The 25276-nt window shown below is 39.1% G+C and overlaps 1 protein-coding gene, 1 long non-coding RNA gene and 1 pseudogene across 4 annotated transcripts in view; 2 read left to right on the top strand and 1 right to left on the bottom strand.

Moving 5' to 3' along the window:
* OTUD7A (OTU deubiquitinase 7A) overlaps nucleotides 1–25276 on the top strand; it is a 395276-nt gene that overhangs the window by 94025 nt on the left and 275975 nt on the right. The window lies entirely within an intron of this gene.
* LOC124903455 (uncharacterized) lies at nucleotides 614–11194 on the bottom strand. Its single transcript, XR_007064558.1, has 3 exons — nucleotides 11109–11194; nucleotides 8036–8038; nucleotides 614–624 (listed from the first exon to the last, which is right to left on the bottom strand). It is a non-coding gene; the product is annotated as an uncharacterized LOC124903455 (long non-coding RNA).
* Nucleotides 8364–12548, top strand: DEPDC1P1 (DEP domain containing 1 pseudogene 1; annotated as a pseudogene).

Raw genomic sequence — 25276 nt, 5'->3', positions numbered from 1 at the left:
AGTCTTGGGGTCTTTGCCTTTAATTGGGTTGTAGCTTTAGTAGAGGAAGGCAGGTCTCCACTGAATTGGGATGCCCCTGTCCCCACATACCTGAGGCTGAATGCAAGGAAAGGTGAACCTTATTAGGACAGGGCAGCTGCCACTTCTTACCAAGGAAGGAGAGAGTCGGGAGGGGCCATGTGCTGTCAGATCTCCAGTCACACCACAGGCTGCAGGCTGCCCCTGTGCCTTGCTCCCACTCTCCCCACAGATTCTGGCAGCCACCATCCAGGAAATACACTGAGCAAGAAGACCCAACCAGAAAGTCACACCAAGGGCTTGGCCCTTTGGAGCATTCCCGCAAAGCCCGAGTGGTTAGGAAGTACATGTGTCGCTATCTGGAAGTCCCACACTGGAAGTATTATGTGGAATAAGCTTAAGACACAGCCAGGCCATTTGCCAGGCCCTACTGGGAGCGGTACCAGGCGGTAAGGGGACCTGGCCTGGGGCAGCTGTCAGGGGCAGCCCGAAGCATAGGCCCAGAATGCACCTCCCCTCTCCCTGCACAATGACGGGGCGCCTCTGCAGTGTGTGGACAGGTGCAGGTGGCTGCGTGGCAGTGGCACTCTGTCCTTGTACTCTTCCCTGTGTGTCTTTCCCTGGAAATGTTCATCAGTTCTGTGTCTGTGTGTGTATGTGTATGTGCGTTTTAACCTCAGATATTAATTTGGTGACTTCTGGACTGAAATTAAGCTTTGAATGCACTGCTGCTGGAAATCAAACATGAATTTGAGAAATCAAGGCTCTCCCCTGGATGTGGCTTGGCTTTTCCAGCCCCAGGTTCAGCTGATTCAGAACCTGTCCTGAGGGATACACTCACATTCTTCCCTTTCTCGCCTCCTGCCCCTGCTGCCATGCCCATGTCTACACTCATTCCTTCAGGCGTCTAGGAGCAAATCTTTTCCCCTTAAACTACAAGCCCATTTAGTAGAACGGGGTTAGGAGAGTAGTATCCTCTGTGGGGAAAACAGATCACGTTTTGTTACTTAAAAAATTCAGCTTCAAAGAGTATTTTCCTCCTAGATATCTGCACAGTTGATCTTCAAGCTTTTGCACAAATGTCATCTCAATGAGTCTCTTCAATTTTACAACCCACTCTTCAGACACCCTGTCCTGCCCAGCAAGCCAGGTCTTCTGTTGTAGTCACAGCACTTACAGACTCATAACCTATTGTTTAATTTATTTATTTTTTTCTCTGTTCTTATTGGAGTATAAACTCCACAAAGGCAGAGGTTTTCATCCACTGATGTGTGCTGAGCACCTAAAATAATCCTCATTACATAATTATTTGTTGAATGAATGAATATGTGGCTTTTGTTATTTTTAAATGAATCTACAGTGTTGGTCTTAAAACTGCCTTGGGTCCATATATTTTGGCATTTTATTTTCTTGAGCAGCTGAGTCTTTCAGAAAGTGAATAAAGATGATTAGCGTAGTCAAAGTGAAACTCCATAAAACTTTGGAATGGGTAAGTGTTGAAGAGGGGAGGGGTGTGTGTGTGTGTGTGTGTGTGTGTGTGTAAATGCATGGACATGGGAGCGTACACACGTGCATGCATAGGTCAGAGGAGAGGATAATGTGTTTGGATGTGATGTTGTGTCTCTTTTTACAGCAGTATCACTTTTTTTTTTTAACTATCTTTTCAATCAAAACTGTTCCACCGAGAAGGCATTGGGTCGTCCTTGCCTGATGAGATGGCCTGACCCCCACGAGAAGGCCAGGACAACGTCACAATCCACTTGGGTGGTCTGTGGATCCCCCTGGGTTGTTGACTCTTAATTCTAAAAGACAAGTGTTATAAGCTTTTGCTGTTATGGTGAAAATACATCTTCCTTTCCTAAATTAAGGGGAAACTTAAGTGGCTGATAGTATTTCCCAGACAACTGGGATCATGTTTGAAGCCTTGATAAAAAGTGTGCAGAAAAATCTCTGGATGTGGCACAGAAACTGATGTTGCTGTAATCAGCAACTAGCAGTAAGTATCTGAGATCCCCCTCTGGAGATGCACCTGACTGTGTTTATGTGCCTGATACTAACATGTCCTCATTAACAGAGTGTGCTGGAGCTGGAGCTTTATTTCAGAGTGGCAAGTTCAAGCCAGAATGTTTCATGGCAGGCAGATAGTCATTCACTTTCCTTCTGGGCTGGTCTTTCAAAGTTCTCTTTTTCTCCTCCATAGAGGACAGTATTTTCCAAGGTGTTCAAATGTTTTGGTGATAAGACATTTTAAAGCAGTCTAAAGCGTCATGAAGAGCCGGCAGGAGGCCCCTAGGTGCAAGGCACAGGGTGATCGCAGGGCTGGTTATGGAGCTGTCCCTGGGCTGACTGACTCAGCTGGCAGCCTGCTTCAGCCTGTTCCTGGGCTGCAGAGAGCACCTTGCTCGTCAGAATTTGCTGCTGTCCCATGGCTTTTTGTATGGCCCAGGAAACCATTGAGCAGCCGTCAACTCCAGAATGCATTTCCATGGAGCTCAACTGGGAGGACTTTATTTGGGGAAGAAAAGAAGCCTCTCAGACTATTCTCTCATAGTGCATGGCTGTGTGGCTGCTCTGGGCATGTCTTCAGATAGCCTTGTTTTTACTTTTTACCCACTGTGCCATTAGCTTCATTTCAATGACTGATAAAGTGTTCTTCTTGACAATTAAACAGTGCATTTGCTGATAATTATTTCTTTTTGTTGTCAATTTTAAAGGTGCTGGTCAACAGATTGTGAGTCGATTATAAATTGCCTCTCCCAGCCTCCCACCATCTCATTCACTATTTGTATGGCATGTTAAAATGTTTTGAGGAGTGGAGCATTTACATAAGCATCTGTTGGTCGACTGCAAATGTGTGTGTGTATTTCATATATTTAAACCCATCAAAAACTCCAGCATCCAGTTTGCTGTTCTCACATTTCAGATGAAAAACTGAAACACAAAGATTAACAAAGTCCCCTAAATTTATATAGATGGTTAATAGTGGAAGCTGGGATTAAACTGGTATTACAGATTACATGTTTGTATCCCCTCCCCCAAATTCATATGTTGAAATCCTAACTCCCAAGGTGATGATATTAGAAGGTGATGCCTTTGGGAAGTGATTAGGTCATTAGGGTGTATCCCTCATGAATGAGATTAGTGCCCTCATAACGGGGACCCCAGACATTCCATTGCCCCTTCTACCATGTGAGGATGGGGAGAAGGCACCATCTATAAATGGGTAGCAGGCCCTTATCAGACATGGAATCTGCAGGTGCCTTGATGTTGGACTTCTTCCCTCCAGAACTGTGAGAAATTGTCGATAAGCTACATATTCAATGGTATTTTTGTTATAGCAGCCTGAACTAACTAGACTGAGTGTGGAAGATGTTGCTTCACCAGATAATGAATTCTGTCAAAGGACATATCACTCATCTTAGCAAATGTCAATATGTAAATGTTTTATATAAACAAAACTCCATCTTCAGTTTCCTGCATTTTGTCATTTAAATGGAGTACATGCTAAATAATAATCGTTCATTAAATGTTTATAGAATTTATATTCATATATACAGATACATAGATAGGTTTATATCTACATATTAAAATATACATATCTGTAATTATATTAGCCAGGTAGTATCGAGTAACCAGTAAAATCAGCTAAAAATTGAAAATAGTACAGAAAAACACCACTTTCAACATTGTTAATATTGAAACAAAGTGTTCCTGTAGCATTACTTGACATTATATACAAACTTCTTTAATACATTGCAAATTAACAGGTAAAAATGGTTGTGCATATTAACCACAGTTAGAATTTAAGATAGCACGTCTAGATATATTTGGGCTTATAAAGTATATTGTAGGTGCTATTTGAACTTCATATATGTTTAATATACATAAAAGGAATATATTTTTCTTTTTAAGAGTTTGTTTTTATATGCTTTTATTTCAAAAAGTAAATGTCAGCAGTTCCCCAACTTTGCTGCACATTGAAATCAGCTGGGGGGCTTTCAAATGTCCTAGTGTATGGCTGTCAGTCCCAGCCATTCTGATTGAATAGGGTTTAATCTGTGTATTGGGATTTTACCAAGCTACCTAAGTAATTCTAATGTGCAGCAAACTTTGGGAATCCCTGGTGTATGCAGTGCATGGAGAATCGTCAGATTTAGTGTCTGTGTATGCCCCACAACTCATCATTTTTTTTCGTTTATTCCTTTACTCACTGTACCCTTGCCAACTATCTGTCAGGGATTATGCAAATGCTGGGCACATAGAGGTGAATGAAAAAGGCATAGCATTGCCCTCCTGCAGTTTTAGTCTATCAGAGGGATATAAACAGTTTACAGGTAAATAAATCAACACTCTAAAATATTTTTTTTTTTTTTTTTTTTGAGACGGAGTCTCGCTCTGTCGCCCAGGCTGGAGTGCAGTGGCGGGATCTCGGCTCACTGCAAGCTCCGCCTCCCGGGTTCACGCCATTCTCCTGCCTCAGCCTCCCAAGTAGCTGGGACTACAGGCGCCCGCCACTACGCCCGGCTAATTTTTTGTATTTTTAGTAGAGACGGGGTTTCACCGTTTTAGCCGGGATGGTCTCGATCTCCTGACCTCGTGATCCGCCCGCCTCGGCCTCCCAAAGTGCTGGGATTACAGGTGTGAGCCACCGCGCCCGGCCCCCACTCTAAAATATTTTTTAAACATTGTGGAAAGTGAGAAGGAGGTCATGAACAAGAGGCTGTTAGGGAGAATAAATATAGGTCCAGGCATCAAGACAACATGGATGAGCACTACAAGTCAGGAAGGAGTTTGGCAGGCTCTAAGGCCAAACAGAAGGCTGAAGTGTCCCATGGGAGAGGCTGAAGAGGTTGGAGAGGGGGGTCTGGTGCAGGGGCTTTGAAGCCATGCTAGTGACTTTGGACTTAGACTTCAAACATTGTGATGCTGTTGGTTATTTTAGGCCAGGAGGCTGGGGTCAGGGTGGAGGTGGAGATGGAGATAAGGTTCTAGTTAACCATTTTAAAAGTTCTTTGTGGTGGCTGTTGCATTCATTCAAGTAAGGGATGATAGTAGCCTGGAGAAGAGTGGTGTAGTAGACGTGCATTCATGATGTATTTGGAGGAACCCACTGGCATCACTGGTGAATTGCATACGTGATGCAAGGAAGAGAAAGGAATCAAGGACAATTCCAAGCGTTTGACCTAAGCAATCACGTAAATGTTGATGTCATTTGGTGGGAAGGGAGATGGTTCATGGGCCGTTGCCAGTGGATGTGGATTTGAAAGTAAAGTCGGTATTTCTATCTGGCATATTAAGTTTGAGATGCCAGATAGACATCTAAATGGAGCTGACAAATAGATAGTCCAATAAACCGGTACCCAGACCAAGAAACAGAACATAAGCAGCTGAACAGAAACATTCTTCTTCCTCTTTCAGTATCTACCCTTCTATGACCTTGTTAAACTCAAGTGTTAGTTCTAGTAATTTTTCTGTACATTTTTTATAATTTTCTAAAAAACTCATCTGTGAGTAAAGTCAGTTGAGATTTATTTCTTTCCAATATGTATGCCTTTAATTTGTTGTTCTTATTTCATTGGCCAGAGCCTCTGGTACAATGTGGACCATGAGGGGCAAGCGCAGGGAATCCTTGCCTTGCTCTTGATCGTAGGTGCAGAGCATGCACACTTGCACCGTCAAGTCTGATATAGGCTGTGTGTTTTCAAAGATGCCCTTTGTCAGGTTGCGGGAGTCCTTTTATATTCTTAATCTGTTGAGAATTTTTTATCATGAATAGATGGTAGATTTTGTCAAAGGCTTTCCTGTATGTTCTGTATCTAGTGAGATTATTATTTGGCGTTTTCATTTATTCTGTTAACATAATATCATTATTTTCTAATGATAAACCAACCTTCTATTACTGGAATAAATTCAAATTGGTCATGGTGTATCTTTTTAAATATGTTGCTGAATTTGGTTTGCTCATATTTTGTTAAGACCATTTATGTCTGTGTTCATGAAGGATATTGGCCTATAGTTTCTTTTCTTTGTCTGGCTTTGATATCAGACTAAAGCTAACTTCATAGAATAAGTTGAGCAGTGTTCCCTCCTCCAGTATTTTATGAAAGCATTTGTGAAGGATTAATATTATACTTTCTTTAAGTCCTTGGTAGTATACACCAGTGACACCATTTCAGGGTGGACTTTACTTTGTGGGAAGAGTATTGTTACCAGCTTAATTCCTTTGCTTGTTATTGATTTATTCAGATTTTCTACTTTCTTTTTGTATAATCTTTGGTAATTTGTATATTTCTAAGAATTTGTCCACTTAATATGAGTTTTCTGACTTTTTTACATAAAGTAGTTCATATTCCCATGTAATTAATACTTTTGGTGTCTGTAGTTTTGATAGCAGTGTCCCCTCTTTCATTCATGATTTTTGTGATTTCTGTACTCTCTTGAATTATTGGTAATCTGACTAAGGGTTTGTCAGTTTTGTTAATATTTCCAAAGAGCCACCATTTGATATTTTATTTTTCTGTTTTCTGTTCTGGTCTTCGTTGTTTTCATTGTTCTGCTTTTGTGTTTAGCTTGCTTTTTTTCTAGTTTCTTAAGGTGGATGCTTAGCTTATTAATTTCATACCTGTCTTTTCTAATATAGTTACATTTTTAATTTTATTTTTTGAATTGGCATACCGCAAAATTGACTTTTTGTTGTATAGTTCTGAGTTTAACACACATATAGATTTTATTTAACCACTATCACAATCAGTGTGCAGAACAATTTCATCACCTGGCAAAACTCCCCCAAGCTGCCCGTTTGTAGTGAGCCCTTCCTTTACTCCTAACTAACCCCTGGCAACCACTAATCTGCTCTCTGCCCCTATAGTTTTGCTATGTTCAGGGTGTCATAAAAATGGAATCATATGCTATGTATTATGTTTGGACTGGCTTCCTTCACTCAGCATAGCAGATTTGAGATTTATCCTTGTTGTGTGAAATCAATAGTTAATTCCTTTTTATTGCTGAAAAGTATGTCATTGTGTGGATGCACCACCGTTTGTTTATTCATTCACACTGTGAAGGATATTTGGGAGGTTCTAGTTTGGGATTATCACAAATAAAGTGGCTATGAACATTCGTGAACAGGCATTTGGGAAAACTAAGTTTTCATTTCCCTAGAATAAGTATCTATGAATGAGATTGCTGTGTCATGCGTAAGTATATGTTTAATTTTATTTAAAAACTGCCCAACTGTATTCCAGGTATTTTTTGCTTCATGTAATTTGAAGCTCTGTTGTTAGGTGCATACACATTTGGGATTGTTTTTTCTTTTTGGTGAATTGAACCTTTTATCATTACATATTATCTCTCTTAATCCTTGGAATTTCCCTTGTTCTAGTCTACTGTATCTGATGACAATATATCTGATGTTAATAGAACTACTGTAGCTTTGATTCCATTAATGTTTTCATGACATATCTTTGGCCATCATTTACTTTTGACCTATGTATTTTGTTGAACTTAAAGTGGATTTCATAGAGAAAGCATATTGTTGAGTCTTATTTTTAAATTCATTCCAATAATCGATGTCTATTAGTTGGCATATTTCAGCCCTTTGCATTTAATTATTGATTTGTTTGTACTTAGATGGACAGTTTTTTGTTATTTGTTTACTGTTTGTTCTTTCTTTTTTGTACCTGTTTCCCCTTTCCTATCTTTGGGATGCTTGAATTTTTTTAGTATTCTATTTTAACTTTTCTGTTTTTATATTCTCTTTGTATGCTTTTTGGTGATTGCTCTAGAGATTACAATATTCATACTTATTTTTTCACAGTCTGTGTAGAACAACATTTAACTATTCAATATGGAATGTAGAAACCTTACCACCATATAGGTCCCTTTACTTCACCCCCTTTATGTTGTAGGTGTCTTATGTATTACATCTGCAGACGCCGAAAGTGCCACCAGTGTTATCACTTTTTTTTTTTTTCTTTGTGATGGGGTCTCTGTCACCTAGGCTGGAGTGCAGTGGCACGATCTCGGTTCATTGCAACCTCTGCCTCCCAGACTCAAGTGAGCCTCCCACCTCAGCCTCCCGAGTAGCTAGGACCACAGGCATGTGCCACCATGCCCAGCTAATTTTTGTATTTTTGGTAGAGACAGGGTTTCGTCAAGTTGCCCAGGCTGGTCTCAAACTCCTGAGCTCAAGCGATCCACCTGGCTTGGCCTCCCCAAGTGCTAGGATTACAGGCATAAGCCACCATGCCTGGCATCACTTTTACTTTATAGATATTGTATAGAAATTGTGAGGCCAATCCACGCAGCCCTCTATGCTATACAAGTTGGCGGCAGAGCCAATGGTTGTGCCGAGACTCGCCGCTGCCCGGGCTGCTGGGTCTTGAGTGTCACCTACACTGCCATGGATGCCACCGGACGCTGACAGACCTGTGGAGAGTCGGGTTGTGCCTCCCGGGCCTTATCGGGCCACCAAGCTGTGGAATGAAGTTACCACATCTTTTCGAGCAGGAATGCCTCTAAGAAAACACAGACAACACTTTAAAAAATATGGCAATTGTTTCACAGCAGGAGAAGCAGGGGATTGGCTTTATGACCTATTAAGAAATAATAGCAATTTTGGTCCTGAAGTTACAAGGCAACAACTGTTGAGGAAATTTCTTAAGAATCGTATAATTGAAGATATCAAAGGGAGGTGGGGATCAGAAAATGTTGATGATAACAACCAGCTCTTCAGATTTCCTGCAACGTTGCCACTTAAAACTCTACCACGAAGGCATCCAGAATTGAGAAAAAACAGCATAGAGAACTTTTCCAAAGATAAAGATAGTATTTTTAAATTACAAAACTTATCTCGTAGAACTGCTGAAAAGCATGGATTACATTTATCTCAGGAAAATGCCGAGAAAATAAAACATGAAATAATAAATGAAGATCAAGAAAATGCAGTTGATGATAGAGAACTAAGCCAGGAAGACGTTGAAGAAGTTTGGAGATATTTTATTCTGATCTACCTGCAAACTATTTTAGGTGTGCCATCCCTAGAAGAAGTCATAAATCCAAAACAAGTAATTCCCCAATATATAATGGGGCCAATACAAGTAAACATGGAGTAGTTATACTACAAAACAAATCAGATGACCTCCCTCACTGGGTATTATCTGCCATGAAGTGCCTAGCAAATTGGCCAAGAAGCAATGATATGAATAATCCAACTTATGTTGGATTTGAATGACATGTATTCAGAACAATCACAGATTATTTTCTAGATCTCCCTGAACCTCTACTTACTTTTGAATATTACGAATTACTTGTGAACATTTTGGTTGCATCTTCATTTTTGTTTCATTTCGTGGTAGTTGTTTGTGGCTACATAACAGTTTCAGATAGATCCAGTGGGATACATAAAATCCAAGATGATCCCCAGTCTTCAAAATTCCTTCACTTAAACAATTTGAGTTCCTTCAAATCAACTGAGTGCCGCCTTCTCAGTCTGCTTCGTAGAGAAAAAAAAATAAAGAAGAATCAGATTCTACTGAGAGACTACAGATAAGCAATCCAGGATTTCAAGAAAGATGTGCTAAGAAAATGCAGCTAGTTAATTTAAGAAACAGAAGAGTGAGTGCTAATGACATAATGGGAGGAAGTTGTCATAATTTAATAGGGTTAAGTAGTATGCGTGATCTATCCTCTAACAGCAAACCAAGGTGCTATTCTTTGGAAGGAATTGTAGATGTGTCAGGGAATTCAAGTAAAGAGGCATCCAGTGTCTTCCATCAATCTTTTCCGAACATAGAAGGACAAAATAATAAACTGTTTTTAGAGTCTAAGCCCAAACAGGAATTCCTGTTGAATCTTCATTCAGAGGAAAATATTCAAAAGCCATTCAGTGCTGGTTTTAAGAGAACCTCTACTTTGATTGTTCAAGACCAAGAGGAGTTGTGTAATGGGAAATGCAAGTCAGAACAGCTTTGAAGGTCTCAGAGTTTGCTTTTAACAAGTAGTACAAGAAGGAATAGTTATTATCAATACACCAGTGGCTGAAATTACCATGAAACCAAATGTTGGACAAGGCAGCACAAGTGTGCAAACAGCTATGGAAAGTGAACTTGGAGAGTCTAGTGCCACAATCAATAAAAGACTCTGCAAAAGTACAATAGAACTTTCAGAAGACTCTTTACTTCCAGCTTCTTCTGTGTTGACTGGCACACAAAGTTTGCTGCAACCTCATTTAGAGAGGGTTGCCATCGATGCTCTACAGTTATGTTGTTTGTTATTTCCCCCACCAAATCATAGAAAGCTTCAACTTTTAATGCGTATGATTTCCCGAATGAGTCAAAATGTTGATATGCCCAAACTTCATGATGCAATGGGTGCGAGATCACTGTTGATACATACCGTTTCTCAATGTGTGTTATGCTGTGCTGAAGAAGTGGACCTTGATGAGCTTCTTGCTGGAAGATTAGTTTCTTTCTTAATGGATCATGATCAGGAAATTCTTCAAGTACCCTCTTACTTGCAGACTGCAGTGGAAAAACATCTTGACTACTTAAAAAGGGGACATATTGAAAGTCCTGGAGATGGACTATTTGCTCCTTTGCCAACTTACTCATACGGTAAGCAGATTAGTGCTCAGGAGTTTGATGAGCAAAAAATTTCTACCTCTCAAGCTGCAATTGCAGAACTTTTAGAAAATATTGTTAAAAACAGGACTTTACCTCTAAAGGAGAAAAGAAAAAAACTAAAATAGTTTCAGAAGGAATATCCTTTGATATATCAGAAAAGATTTCCAACCATGGAGAGTGAAGCAGCACTTTTTGGTGACAAACCTACAATCAAGCAACCAATGCTGATTTTAAGAAAACCAAAGTTCTGTAGTCTAAGATACTAGCTGAATTAAAAAGTATGTAATACTTGTGGAACTTTGATAAATGAAGCCATATCTGAGAATGTAGCTACTCAAAAGGAAGTCTGTCATTAATAAGGTATTTCTAAATAAACACATTATGTAAGGTAGTGCCAAAATAGATGTTTATCAATGTGAGACTCCTAGGAAACTAACTAGATCTCAATTGAGAGCACATAACATATACTTTTTGTTTTTAACACAGCTATCCAGTAAGGCTATCATGATGTGTGCTAAAATTTTATTTACTTGAATTTTGAAAACTGAGCTGTGTTAGGGATTAAACTGTAATTCTGTTTTTTAAAAAAAATTTATCTGCACATGTGCAAGTTCTGAGATATTAGCTAATGAATTAGTTGTTTGGGGTTACTTCTTTGTTTCTAAGTATAAGAATGTGAAGAATATTTGAAAACTCAATGAAATAATTCTCAGCTGCCAAATGTTGCACTCTTCTATATATTCTTTTTCCACTTTTGATCTATTTATATATATATGTATGTGTTTTTAAAATATGTATATATTTTATCAGATTTGGTTTTGCCTTAAATATTATCCCCAACTGCTTCAGTCATTCATTTGTTCAATATATATATTTTGAATTCTAATTTTCATAATCTATTAGAAGATGAGGATGTAAAAGAAGTATAAGGCAATCATATATTCATTCAAAAGATATTTATTTAGCAACTGCTATGTGCCTTTCATTATTCCAGATATGCGGAGACAATGATAAATAAAACATATAATCTCTTCCATAAGGTATTTATTTTTTAATCAAGGGAGATACACCTATCAGATGCTTAAAATAACAACATTACCCACTGAAATCAGGGCATATAGAATCATTCAGCTAAAGACTGACTTCTATGATGATGGAACAGGTCTCTAAGCTAGTGGTTTTCAAACTGGTGCACGTTAGACTCACCCGAGGAGTTTTAAAACAGCCTATATGCCCAGGGCCTAATTTATACTAATTGAATCTGAATTTTGGGGATGTTGTATAGGGATTAGTATTTTTTTTTAATCTAGGTGATTCCAATATTCATCCAACTGTGAGAATCAATGGCCTAAATGCTTTTTATAAACATTTTTATAAGTGTCAAGATAATGGCACATTGACTTTATTTTTACATTGGAAGAAAACGCTTGCCAAGTATAAATGACTCTCATCTTAAAACAAGGTTCTTCAGTTTCTGCTTGATTGACTTGGTACAAACTTGAAGCAAGTTGCCTTCTATTTTTTACTTCAAGATTGTTTCATATCTATTCCTTAAGTGTAAAGAAATATATAATGCCTGGGTTGTAATAAAATCTTAATGTTTAATGACTATTCTCATTTCTCAATGTAATTTCATACTATTCCTCTATAAAATGATAGTGTTCCATTTAACATTACTGATTTTTATTAAAAACCTTGACAGAAAATTATGAATTATAAATATGACTTTATCCTGGCTATAAAATTATTGGACCAAATTGAATTCTTTCTAAGGCATTTGTATACTAAAACTTCTATTGCTTATAGATATGTAAAATGTGGATTATGTTGCAAATTGAGATTAAAATTATTTGGGGTTTTGTAACAAAAAAATTATGAGAAGAATCTATTATATTATCCATATATGTACCATTTCTGTTGCTTTTTATTTCTGAAGTTTCAAGTTTCCCTCCCGTGTCACTCTTGTCTGAGAAACTTCCATTAACATATCTTTCAGAGCAGCTCCATTGACTAATTCTCTTCATTTTCTTTCATCTGAGAATATCTTTGTTTCCTCCCCATTCTTGAAGATTATTTGTACTTAGTATAGAATTCTGGGTTAACAGTTCTTGTCTTTCATTCCTTTAAAAATGTTGTGCCTCTGTGGTTTCTGATGAGAACTCTGCAGTCATTCAGAGGGTTGTTCTCCTATTTATAATGCGGTGATTTTTCCTTGCTGTATTCAGGCTTTTTGTCAAAAATCTTGTCTTTGGTTTTTCAGCCACATGATTATGATTTGTCTGGGCCTGGATTTCTTTTATTTTCTTTTGCTTGGGGTTCCCTGAGTGTCTTAAATCTATAAATTTGTCTTTCACTAAATTTGGGAAGATTTCAGCCACCGTTTGTCAAATTTTCTTTTCCACACCAGACTCTTACTCCTTTCTTGGGACTTTGGTGACACAAATGTTCAACCTTTTGAATTCTTTCCCTCAGTTTCCTGAGTCTCTTAATTTTTTTCATTTTTTTCTCTCCGATGTTCCAATTAGATAATTTCTATTGATTTCTCTTCAAGTCCAGTGACTTTCCTCTGCTATCTCCATTCTGCCATTTAACCCATCTAAAGAACATTTTTTACATGTCAGCTATTGTATTTTTCATCTCTAAAATTTCCACTTGATTCTTCTTTATATCTTTTTTCTTTACTGAGACTTCTGTCTTTTGTTGTTGTTGTTGTTGTTGTTGTTGTTGAGATGGAGTCTCGCTCTGTTGCCCAGGCTGGAGTGCAGTGGCACGATCTCTGCTCACTGAAACCTCCATCTCCTGGGTTCAAGTGATTCTCCTGCCTCAGCCTCCCCAGTAGCTGGGATTATAGGTACATGCTACCAGGCCCAGTTGATTCTTGTACTTTTAGTAGAGATGGGGTTTCACCATGTTGGCCAACCTGGTCTTGAACTCCTGACCTCAGGTGATCCGCCTGCCTCAGCCTCACAAAGTGTTGGGATTACAGGCGTGAGCCACCGCACCTGGCTGACTTCTGTCTTTACATTTGTTTATTCTTACGTCTTGGAGCATGGTTATTATAGCTGCTTTTGTCTGCTTTTGCCAATATTTTTGTCGTCTCGGAGTAGCATATGTTGTTTTTCTCTTTTCTTGTAGTAAAGATTTTCCTGGTCATTTGTGTACCAAGTAATTTGGATTGAATCCTGGACATTTGGAATATTACGTTATCAGACTCTATGTCTTATCATAAGGAGAATATTGATTTTGTTTGTTTTATCAGGCAATCTACATAGCTAGGTTCAGGCTTCAAGTTCTGACCCTTTCAGGGATGTGGTTCCAAAGTTGAGTCTGTTTTCAGAGCTTTCGCTATGCTATTTGGATCCTTCTATAGCTTACGCACCACTCAGTGGCAAGCCTGGGACCTGGATGATAGCTAGTCCTATAGTTCTATAATCAAAGCCTTTGGTGTACTGTTTAGGGTTAGATTCGTGCATGCACAGCTCAGAGGTGAGCCAGAAGATCACACCTCCCTTTACAGGGTTACTTTCTTGAGCTCCTCCTCTTCACAGTCTTTCTGGTTCTTTATGCTCCTTTCAGTGTCCTTTGATCAGATAGCCAGGGCTTTAGTGTCCCTGCTTTGTCTTGTACTTTATGACTTTATCTGTGTGGAGGTTAAATGGTGGGAGGACAGAGAAAAAAAGCAATGAGGATTTGCTCCAAGCCCTTGAGACCACAGCTCCTGTGGGCAGAGAGGAGAATTCCCCTCCCTCAGAGTTTTAGGAACATGCCTGGAAGCTGTGGCCACCACTCCTGCCACTGCAGAATTGCTACCACATCATTGATTTTACTGTTAGTTTTGAAAAACCAATTTGGTTGAGATATAATTCACATACCATAATTCACCCACTAAAAGTACAGTTTATTGATTTTTAGTATATTCACAGATATATGAAACTATTCGCACAATTTAATTTTGGAACACTTCATTACCCCAAAAAGAAATTCTTACCCATTACCAGTGACTTACACACATGCCCCCCTCTGTAGGCAACCATTAATCTATCTTCTGTCTTTACAGATTTATCAGGGCATTTTATACAAATGGCATCATATAATATATTATCTTTGGTGTTTGGCTTCTTTCACTTAATGTTTTCAAGGTTCATCCATGTTGTAGTAAGTACCAGTACTTCCTTCCTTTTCATTGCTGATTGATATTCAATTGTATGGATATATCACATTGCATGTATCTGTTAATCAGTTGATGGATATTTGGGTTTTTCTACTTTTGGCTAATATGAGTAATGCTGTTATGACAATTCATATACAGATATGTTTTCATTTCTCTTTGGTATATACCTAGGAGTAGAATGTCTGGGTCATATGGGAATTCTATGCTTAACTTTTGAGTAACTGCTGAACTATTTTTTGAAGTAGCTGTATCATTTTATGTTCCTACCAGCAGAGTATAAGATTTCCAGTTTCTCCACATCTTTGTCAACACTTATTATTGTTTGTCTTTCTTATTATACCCATCCTAGTGGGTGTGAAGTTATATTTCGTTGTGATTTTGATTTGCTTTTCCTTAATGACTAGTGATGTTGAGTATCTTTTCATGTGATTATTGACTGGTTTTATGTATTCTTTTGAGAAATATCTATTCAAATCCTTTGTCCATTTTTATTGGTTATTTGTGTTTTTATTATTGAGTTGTATATATCCTGTATACAAGTCCCTTATCAGATGTACATTGTGCAAATATTTTCTCCCATTCTGTAGGTTGCCTTTCCATATTCTTGATAGTGTTCTTTGAGAAAAAACTATAAATATTTGTAATTTTGATGAAGTTCAATTTATCTGTTCTTTTGTTGATTGTACTTTTGTTATTGTACCTACAAAATTATTGCCTAACTCAAGATTACAAAGATTTACTGCTATGTTTTCTTCTAAGTGTTGTTATGCTATTGTCTCTTAGGTTTAGGAGGCTCATGATCAATCTTGTCTTAATTTTTGTGTACAGTGTGAAGTAAGGATAGAACTTTATTCATTCACTTGTGGATACTAAGTTGCCCGACCATTATTTGTTAAAAAAACAAAAAAACAAAAAAACCCAAAAAAACCTGTTCTTTCCCCACAAAATTATCTTGCTGCTCTTGTAAAGAATCAACCAGACATAAATGCAAGGGTTTATGCCAATACCATACTATCTTAATTATTGTGGATTTATCATAAATTTTAAAGTCAGAAAATGTGAGTCCTCCTTTGTTTTTCGAGATTATCCTGGCTATTCTCAATCCCTTGAATTTCCATATGAATTTTAGGGTCAGCTTGTCAATTTCTGAAAAAAAAGCCAGCTGGAATTTTGAAAGGGATTGGGTTGAATCTGTACATTAATCTAAGGAGTATTGCCATCTTAGCAACATTGCATTTTCTGGCCCATGAATATGGGATATCTTTTAACAGCAACACTGGGAACTGGAAGACAACGGAAGATAACTTCAATGTGTTCAATACAAAACCCTGCAAAACTAAAATTCTAATTCCAGTGAAAGTATCTTTATAAAATGAAGGGAGAAGAAGTGAGCATTTGGTGACAGAGAGTATAGATAAATCTTCAAAGATTGTTGCTATAAAGGACAGCATAAAAAGGATTGGTAGCTGGAGGGAGATATGAAGTTGATTTTTAAGATGAGCAACTTAAAAACATCTCATATAGAGAAGAAGGAAGTGATGAAACAGTGGAAATCAGGGCTAATTGGAAGGATGATGTCCCTTAGTAACTTTTAGCAGGTGAGGAGGGTAGCATCCAAAGGGAGGTAAGGTGAGAGAAGGATGAAGGATGAGGGTACAGAAGCTGAAGAATAATGATAGGGAAGATCAAGAGTTCTCCATTAGACCACTGTGTGGAGTAGGTAGCAAAGTTATAAGGGAGACTGAAGGGAAAGAGTTTGTTGGAAATTTGAGAAAAACAGAAAAGTATGAAATTGTCATCTTGGGGAATAACAAAGTGAAATTTCCATGAAAATAAAACAATTTAGCAGTTTTCAGTGCCTATATGATATAAATTTGAAGACAGCCTAGTCATCAGAGTTCTAAGATTTTTTTCCAGTGATGTTCAGGTTTGGTACAAGTCCAGAGTAAGTGATGCAGAGTAGAGGGAAGCATGGACAAAGCATGAATATTATGTGTAAAAGCATGACTCTGGCCGGGTGTGGTGGCTCATGCCTGTAATCCAGCACTTTGGGAGGCTGAGGCAGCAGGATCACTTGAGGTCAGGAGTTTGAGACCAGCCTGGCCAACATGGCAAAACCCTGCACTACTATACAAAAGATAGCCAGGCATGGTGGTGCACGCCTGTATCCCAGCTACTCGGGAGGCTGAGGTAGGAGAATTGCTTGAACCCGGGAGGCAGAGGTGGCAGTGAGCTGAGATCACACCACTGCACTCCATCCTGGGTGACAGAGCAAGACTCCATCTCAAAAACGAAAAGGCAAAAATGCATGCCAATGTGGTAAGCCACGATCTATTAGGTGAGGCAGTTAAAGAAGCAGGACTCAGAAGGAGGAAAGTGTGAGAAGTGACAGGATTAGCAGAATGTAGGCCCTGAGAAGGGCAGACTCATGCACACATGGCCATTGGATACCTTGCAGAAATTAGTAGTTCTCTTTGGGGTAGGTGCCAAATAAGTGGTAATTGACTCTGGCCACATATTATGGTCACCTGGGGACCTTTAAAAAATTTATCAGTGGGATTCAAGCCCATTGGTTCAGGATCTCTGAGCATTAGTGTCTTTTAAAAGATGCACAAGTGATTCTAATACAGAGACAGAGCTGATGGCTGCTACAAGAGAGCGTGGAGTGCTGGAGACCTCGAGGCCTGGAAATACAGAGCTGCTGCCTTGCATAGCTCCCAATGGCACATTGATATGGACTGCAGTGTCCCTGGGTGGAGGGTTATAGCAATCTTAGAGCATTTTAAGATTGACAACCCACGAGAGGAGGTGTAGACCCATTAAATTATTAGGGATTTAAAATATCTAGAGCAGTGATTCTAAACCCTGGAGGGGGCAGGTCAGAAAAACACTTCAATGCCTAGATAGCATCCCAGACATCAAAATCAAAATTACATCAAAATCACTGTGGTTGAAGCCCAGGCTAAATCAGGACATTAAAAAAGCTCCCCAGTTTTTTTTGTATGGTAAATACTGGGTGGGGTGCAGCGTTGAGTGGAGATTTGATGATTTCTGATGGAGTCGTGTTGAGTTTGAGGAAGTTGTGCTTCATCCAGTTGGAGATGTCAAAGAAGCCATTAGCTCCAGGTCTGGAGCTTGGCAAAGTCTTGAGCTGAAGCAAAATAATCCTCCCCACTATGGGTGAATTGTTGATTGCTATATATTTTTAGAACATATTAGTTTTGTGATGTTCCAATGCAAGTCATAGTCTTTATAAATGACCATGTCTGCTCTCTGGTTCGAGCAGTATTCCCATAGCTAGAGAGGAGAATACAGTTCTGGCACTGATGTGGGATGCTTGTAAAATGCAGTTAGAAGAGCGTCGGGGAAGGGAGGTTTCTGCAGAGTTTGTGTGATCGTACCTGCTAATTTTAGAGTCAAAGGCCCAGATTGGAGAAAGACTCAGTAGAATGAGACCAGCTGAAGCTCCTGACTTACACAGCAGGGCCGTTCTTGGCTGTGTGCCCAGAGGGCGATGACCACATGCTTAGCAGGAAGGCACTATTGTTTCCTGTTTTGCTTGTTTGTGTGTTTGATTTTGTGTGTGTGTGTGTGTGACAGACATGTTGGTATTTCCCTTTATCTAAATGATACTATCCATTTCTACAGTTTTATATGTGTTTAAGAGGAGGTAGCTATCTTGAGGCAGTTTTTGAACTTTGACTACATGACTTTTAAGGTCCCTCAGTCCATTTTGATAATTTGTCAACATTAAAAGTAAATGAAAACCTACGTTTTAGGATTCATATGAAATAAAAATCGAAGACATTTATTTTTGTGAGTTCCCTTAAAATATGTCAAACTACCTAGCATTGAATATTGTTATGCTTGTTCAAGTGAGAATCTGGCCGTTGTTTTGGGGTGACACAGATCTTGCCACATCTGTTCTAACGATCATCAGTGGGTCAACCTCATTTGTGAAAGCCTCTTCACATCCTCCTATTAATTTTTGTGGAATATTTGTTTACTCAAGGCACTGACAATGCTCAAAGAATTCTATAGAATTATTTTAAAGGGCTTCCTTATCAAATTCTAATTTACCATATAAACTGCTTTGTCCAGATGAAAGTGACCCACAATTACACTTTGAAATGTAATTGACATTTCATTAGTGACTGTGGGTTTGTGTCTTGGAAGAGAGATTTTGTCTCCTTAGGGCCAGGGTTGCCCATGGTACAATTCATGGGAATACAATACATGGGAATACGTTGCGGCTGGCTGGTAATGTCCAGGGGCTGGCTCCCAAATCTCCTTGTTACATTGATTTATGTATTTATGTATTTCTGGGGTTATTGGAAATAATATTGCAGTTGTCCTCTTGACCATTGTGTTTAAGTGGTAGCAGTAGCAGTGGTACTAGGAGTGGTATAGTGAGATCTAACCTCTAGCAAGTCCTTTCTCTGTGCCAAGAACCCTTTATATATATAAACGTATATATATATATAATATATATATTATTTCATTTCATCCCTGCAGTAACCCTATGAGGAAGGCGCCATTTCCATCCACATTGTATAAAAGAAGAGATGAAGTAACTTCCCCAAACTTTGGGGTTAGAATTAGATCCCTGGCTGTCTGGGCTCCAACTTAAGATCCCTGGAGATTCAGCACCAGGAGGTGCAGGATTAATGAGATCTGCCTCTGCCTTAGAGAAAAGCAGGAGCTGGGGTATGGGAGTGGATATGACAGCACAGTGAAGTTGGGTTCATCTGGACAGGGACAGAGGTTAAAGAGCCTCCATGTGATGTGTGCCTGTGCCATCTAACCCTGCTCAGTCCAGTGGCATTCCAGTGGCTCCGAGGAGACAGGAGAGATCTCCTGCTTTGAGGAAGAGGATGGTTTCCTGCCATCATTTCTATGTCATGGAGCAACTTCGGTGGCCCCCACATACCCAGTATACAATCTTTACTGCTTTCTTGTGCGTACTGTTCCTTAGAAGCAAGAGGGATGCTGAGTAGTTGTTAGGTCCGCAGTAGCTGGTGTGAGGCCAGAAGTTTTGTCAAAATTCCAAATAATGGTAAATTGTAAGCTGATTTCATCTAATTTATTTATCTTGCATAGGCTATCCCCATATTCTTATTTAACTTGAGCTGGTTCAGAGTTACTAAAAGCAGTGTGTGTGTGTGTGTGTGTGTGTGTGTGTGTGTGTGTGTGTGTGTGTGTGTGTGTGTTGGGTACACTGGGTTTTTATGCATTCCTGTCCTCAGAAAGGACCCAGTGAATGGATGAGAGGGCAGCCCTGTCTCTGTCACCCTGGCCATGTTAGCTTTGGGGGATGGAGCATTGAGGCCATAGTTGATTACATCACGAGGACAGTGACTTTGTGCGTCAGCACTGACTTTATGGCCTTCTCTGGGACCACAGTGGCAAGACTGTCTTATAGACATTTCCAGGGCCCTGAAAAGTACCTTGAGAGGAGAAACAAAAAGGTTTTCTTTAATGTCTACATTATTCTCACAATTATTGTTTGCAGGAGAAATCCCTGTTCCAATTTAATAAGTAAAGAGAAGTTAAAATAATGATGAATGGTAATAATGTAAAACTCAAACTACAAAATAAAAAGAAAGATACACTGTAAAAGAGTTATTCTGTGTTTAGAAAGAAAAAGCAACAGAGGACCCACAGGCCCTTAGTCAGAGGTGTGGAAGTTGAAAGCAGGTGTCCACAGGCGCTGAAGTGTTACTGGGCACAGCTAACTCCATGGCCAGTGGGGCAAGACTGGGCAAGGGGCAGCAGCTGGGCTCATCTTCAGCGGAGTCCCCACTGGAGGTGAGGCTGGAGTCCTCAGCTCTGCTCCCTTGCTCTGTGACTCATGATACGCCTTTGCAGAAGGCTTAAGCCCATAACCCCTTTCTAGCGGACACCAGGTAGACAACACCAGCCACTGCACACCCCCTGTTTGCCTTGCTGCCTGCCTGGCTGCCAGTCTGTTAACAGACCTAGGCCGCCACTGGGTGGAAAACAAGCAAACAGGCAAGGCCAAAGCTCGAAGGTAGATTGAGAAGCATTTCAGTGAAAACACCATTCTTACTTGAAAATTTCTTTGACGTTGAAGACCAGTACTTTTTTTTTTTTTTGAGACAGAGTCTCGCTCTGTCTCCCAGGCTGAAGTGCAGTGGCGCAATCTCTGCTCACTGCAAGCTCCACCTCCTGGGTTCACACCATTCTCCTGCCTCAGCCTCCCAAGTAGCTGGGACTACAGGCGCCCGCCAGCACGCCTGGCTAATTTTTTTGTATTTTTAGTAGAGACGGGGTTTCACCGTGTTAGCCAGAATGGTCTCGATCTCCTGACCTCGTGATCCACCCACCTCGGCCTCCCAAAGTGCTGGTATTACAGGCGTGAGCTGCCGTGCCCAGCCAAAGACTAGCACTTTTGTTTAAGGACTGCACAGTTTAGGTTTTCCTTACATGATGCTTCCTATCTGATACTAATGGACAGGAAAGGCCCCATTGAGAGTTCTCACCCTGTAGCATTCTAGCTCGCCCTCAGATATATGAAGAAGTTCTCTTGTGTTTTCAAATGCTTCTGGCACCATCAGGCTAAAAAACCATGTATGCCACATATTATTAATACTTCCTCACTTTCCCCCTCCTTCCATTCCTCCTCCTTCCCTCTCTCCTATCTTCCCTTATTCTCTCTCCCACCTTCACTTCCCCTCTTCCCACCTTCCCTTCATCTCTCTCCTCCTTAAATAGAATTATCTCTCTTCTCTCTTTCACACACACACACACACACACGAACACAGAGGAACACACACATAATCACACACACACACCATCTCTCTCTCTCTCTCTGTCTCTCTCACTCTCTTCGTCTTCCTTCTGTGCCAGCCAACTAGACTAATAAGGAGACCAACCAGTTATTCCAGGAGAACCTCCTTCATACCCCTACTCCAGCAGTTCTCAAACTGTGGTCTGTGGACCCCTGGGGTCCCTGAGAAGCTTTCAGGAGGTTCACAATGTCAAAATGATTTTCATAATAATATTAAAAGTGCAAATCTGGAAGCATCACATTACATGATTCAAACTATACTATAAGCCCATAGTCACCAAAACAGCATGGTACTGTTATAAAAACAGGCACATAGACCAATGGAACAGAATAGAGAACCCAGAAATAAACCGAAATACTTACAGCCAACTGATCTTCAACAAAGCAAACAAAAACGAAGTGGGGAAAGTACACCCTTTTCAACAATGGTGCTGGGATAATTGGCTGGCCACATGTAGGAGAATGAAAATGGATTCTTGTCTGTCACCTTATACAAAAATCAACTTAAGATGGATTAAAGACTTAAATCTAAGACATGAAACTATAAAAATTCTAAAAGATAACATTGGAAAAACCCTTCTAGACCTTGGCTTAGGCAAGGATTTCATGACCAAGAGCCCAAAAGCAAATGCAATAAAAACAAAGATAAATTGCTGGGACTTAATTAAACCAAAGAGCTTTTGCATGGCAAAAGGAACAGCCAGCAGAGTAAACAGACAACCCACAGAGTGGGAGAAAATCTTCACAATCTATATGTCTGACAAAGGACTAATATCCAAAATCTACAATGAACTCAAATCAACAAGAAAAAAAAATCCCATTAAAAAGTAGGCTAAGGACATGTATAGACAATTCTCAAAAGAAGATATACAAATGGCCAACAATCATATGAAAAAATGCTCAACATCACTAATGAGCAGAAAAATGCAAATCAAAACCATAATGCAATACCACCTTACTCCTGCAAGAATGGCCATAATCAAAAAAATCAAAAAATAGTAGATGTTGGCATGGATGCAGTGAACAGGGAACACTTCTACACTGCTGGTGGGAATGTAAACTAATACAACCACTATGGAAAACAGTGTGGAGATTCCTTAAAGAACTAAAAGTAGAACTACCACTTGATCCAGCAATCCCACTGCTTGGTATCTACCCAGAGAAAAGTCATTATACAAAAAAAGATAACTGCACATGTGTGTTTATAGCAGCACAATTCTCAATTGCAAAAATGTGGAACTGATCCAAATGCCTATCAATCAAGGAATGGATAAAGAAACTGTGAGATATATATATATATATATAATATATATATATATATATAATATATATATATATATCTCACAGGTTATATATATATATATGATGGAATACTACTCAGTCATAAAAAGGAATGAATTAATGGCATTTGCAGCAACCTGGATGAGATTGGAGACCATTATTCTAAGTGAAGTAACTCAGGAATGGACAACCAAACATTGTATGTTATCATGCATAAGTGGGAGCTAAGCTATGAGGATGCAAAGGCATAAGAATGACACAGTGGACTTTGGGGACTTGGGGAAAGAGTGGGAAGGGGGTGAAGGATAAAAGACTAGAAATAGGGTACAGTGTATACTGCCTGGGTGATGGGTGCACCAAAATCTCACACGTCACCACTAAGGAACTTACTCGTGTAACCAAACACCACCTGTCTCCCAATAACCTATGGAAATATAAATAAATATTTGGTAGAATTCTTCAGTGACACTGCCTGGATCTGGAGATTTCTTTTTTTGGGAGTTTGCTTAAAAAAAAAAAGTCATTTGCCTTTTTCACTATGTGAACATTTGGGCCATGGTACAAGAAGTAATGGTGGTAAAACTGCTGGCACCTTAGCTTGAATCAAGCTTGTGGCATCAAACTGCGCCATTAGTCATTGTATTCCTCACTGTTTTGCACAATGTAAAAGTAAATGCTAATTTCCCTTAGTAATGTCCCTGATGAAACAGTAAAAATGATTCATTTTATTAAATATTGACCCTTGACTACAAGTCGTTTTAATATTCTGAGCACTTCTGCTGCATATGATGATGGTGGTCTTAAAACGAAATCACCATCTGTGCAGTTGTTTCAGTTGCAAGCTGAACTGGCCCCCTTTTCCATGAAACACCACTTTTACCTGAAAGAATGACTGACAAACTATGTTTACTCAGACTTTGTTATATGGCAAAGATTTTTTTTTTCAAAAATGATGAGGGTAAGTCTCTCAGTTAAAACAATTAATACCATTTGTTGCTTTCCAGTCAACATTCATATTCTTTAAAACATGACCTAAATAGCTTACCAGCACTTAAATTCTGCATTAATATTGGCGGTAATATTAGTGAATGTGATTTTTGATATTGCATAATATATAGTATGTCAACATTTGAAAAAGTTTCATAACTCAGCAAGCTAATGTTTTCCAGATGACTAATGCATGATGTAGCAAAATTATGCATGAATAAAAGATTCATTTGAAGTGTAAGCTAGACCAATGGATTTTAGAGTAACAGAGTACAAAATGTTCATTGATGTCATGTTAGATTCCACAGTGCCACTAGCTTTTAAGCAACTATCACTTGTCAAGTTTCAGAGTGATATCAAAGAATATCCTACAATTATTTGAAAAACCTACTAAAATACTCCTCACTTTTACAACTACATTTCTCTATGAGGATAGATTTTCCTCATATACGTCATCCAAAACAACATAGTTTTGCTTTGTAGTTGTACTGTATTTGTATGTATCCATACACATCATACTTTAGCATTGCATGTTTTCAACTTTACATAAATGGAATCATACTGTATACATTTTGTGTTTTTCTTTCTTGTTTGATTCAACATATACATTGAATCAAAGCATCACTGTAGGTACCTGGAGTTCTTTCATATTCAGTGTTTTATTTGTATATGAATATGCCACATTCATTTATAAATTATTTTAAAATTTTAATTTTAGATTCAGTAGCTATGTGTGCAGGTTTGTTACAAGGGTATATTGTGTGATGCTGGGGTTTGGGCTTCTGTTGATCCCATCATGTACATAGTGAACATAGTACCCAACAGGTAGTTTTTCAGCCCTTGCCCCCCTCTCTCCTTCTCTTCCTTTGGAGTTTCTGGCATCTGTTATTCCTGTCTTTATGTCTGTGCATACCCAATATTTAGCTCTCACATACAATATTTGGTTTTCTGTGTTAATTGCACTAGGATAATGGCCTCCAGCTCCACTTATGTTGTTTGAAAAGGACATTATTTCATCCTTTTTTTGGCTGCAGAGTATTCCATGGTGTATATGAAACACATTTTCTTTTTTCAGTCCATCACTGATGGGCATCTAGGTTGATTCCATGTCTTTGTTGCTGTGAATAGTGCTACAATGAATATACGTATGCTTGTATCTTTTGGGTAGTACAATTTATTTTCTTTTGGGTAGATACCCAGTAATGGGATTGTTGGATTGAATGGTAGTTCTCTTTTTAGTTCTTTGAGACATCTCCAAACTGCTTTCTGCAGTGGCTGAACTAATCTACTTTCCCACATGCAGTGTGTAAGTGTTCCCTTTTCTCTGTAGCCTCACTGTCTGTTATTGTTTGGATTTTTAATAATGGCCATTCTGACTGGTATGAG

The sequence above is a fragment of the Homo sapiens genome, chromosome 15 (genome assembly GCF_000001405.40).
Source record: "Homo sapiens chromosome 15, GRCh38.p14 Primary Assembly".
NCBI lineage: Eukaryota > Metazoa > Chordata > Mammalia > Primates > Hominidae > Homo > Homo sapiens.
This window is presented reverse-complemented; position numbering and strand designations above follow the sequence as displayed.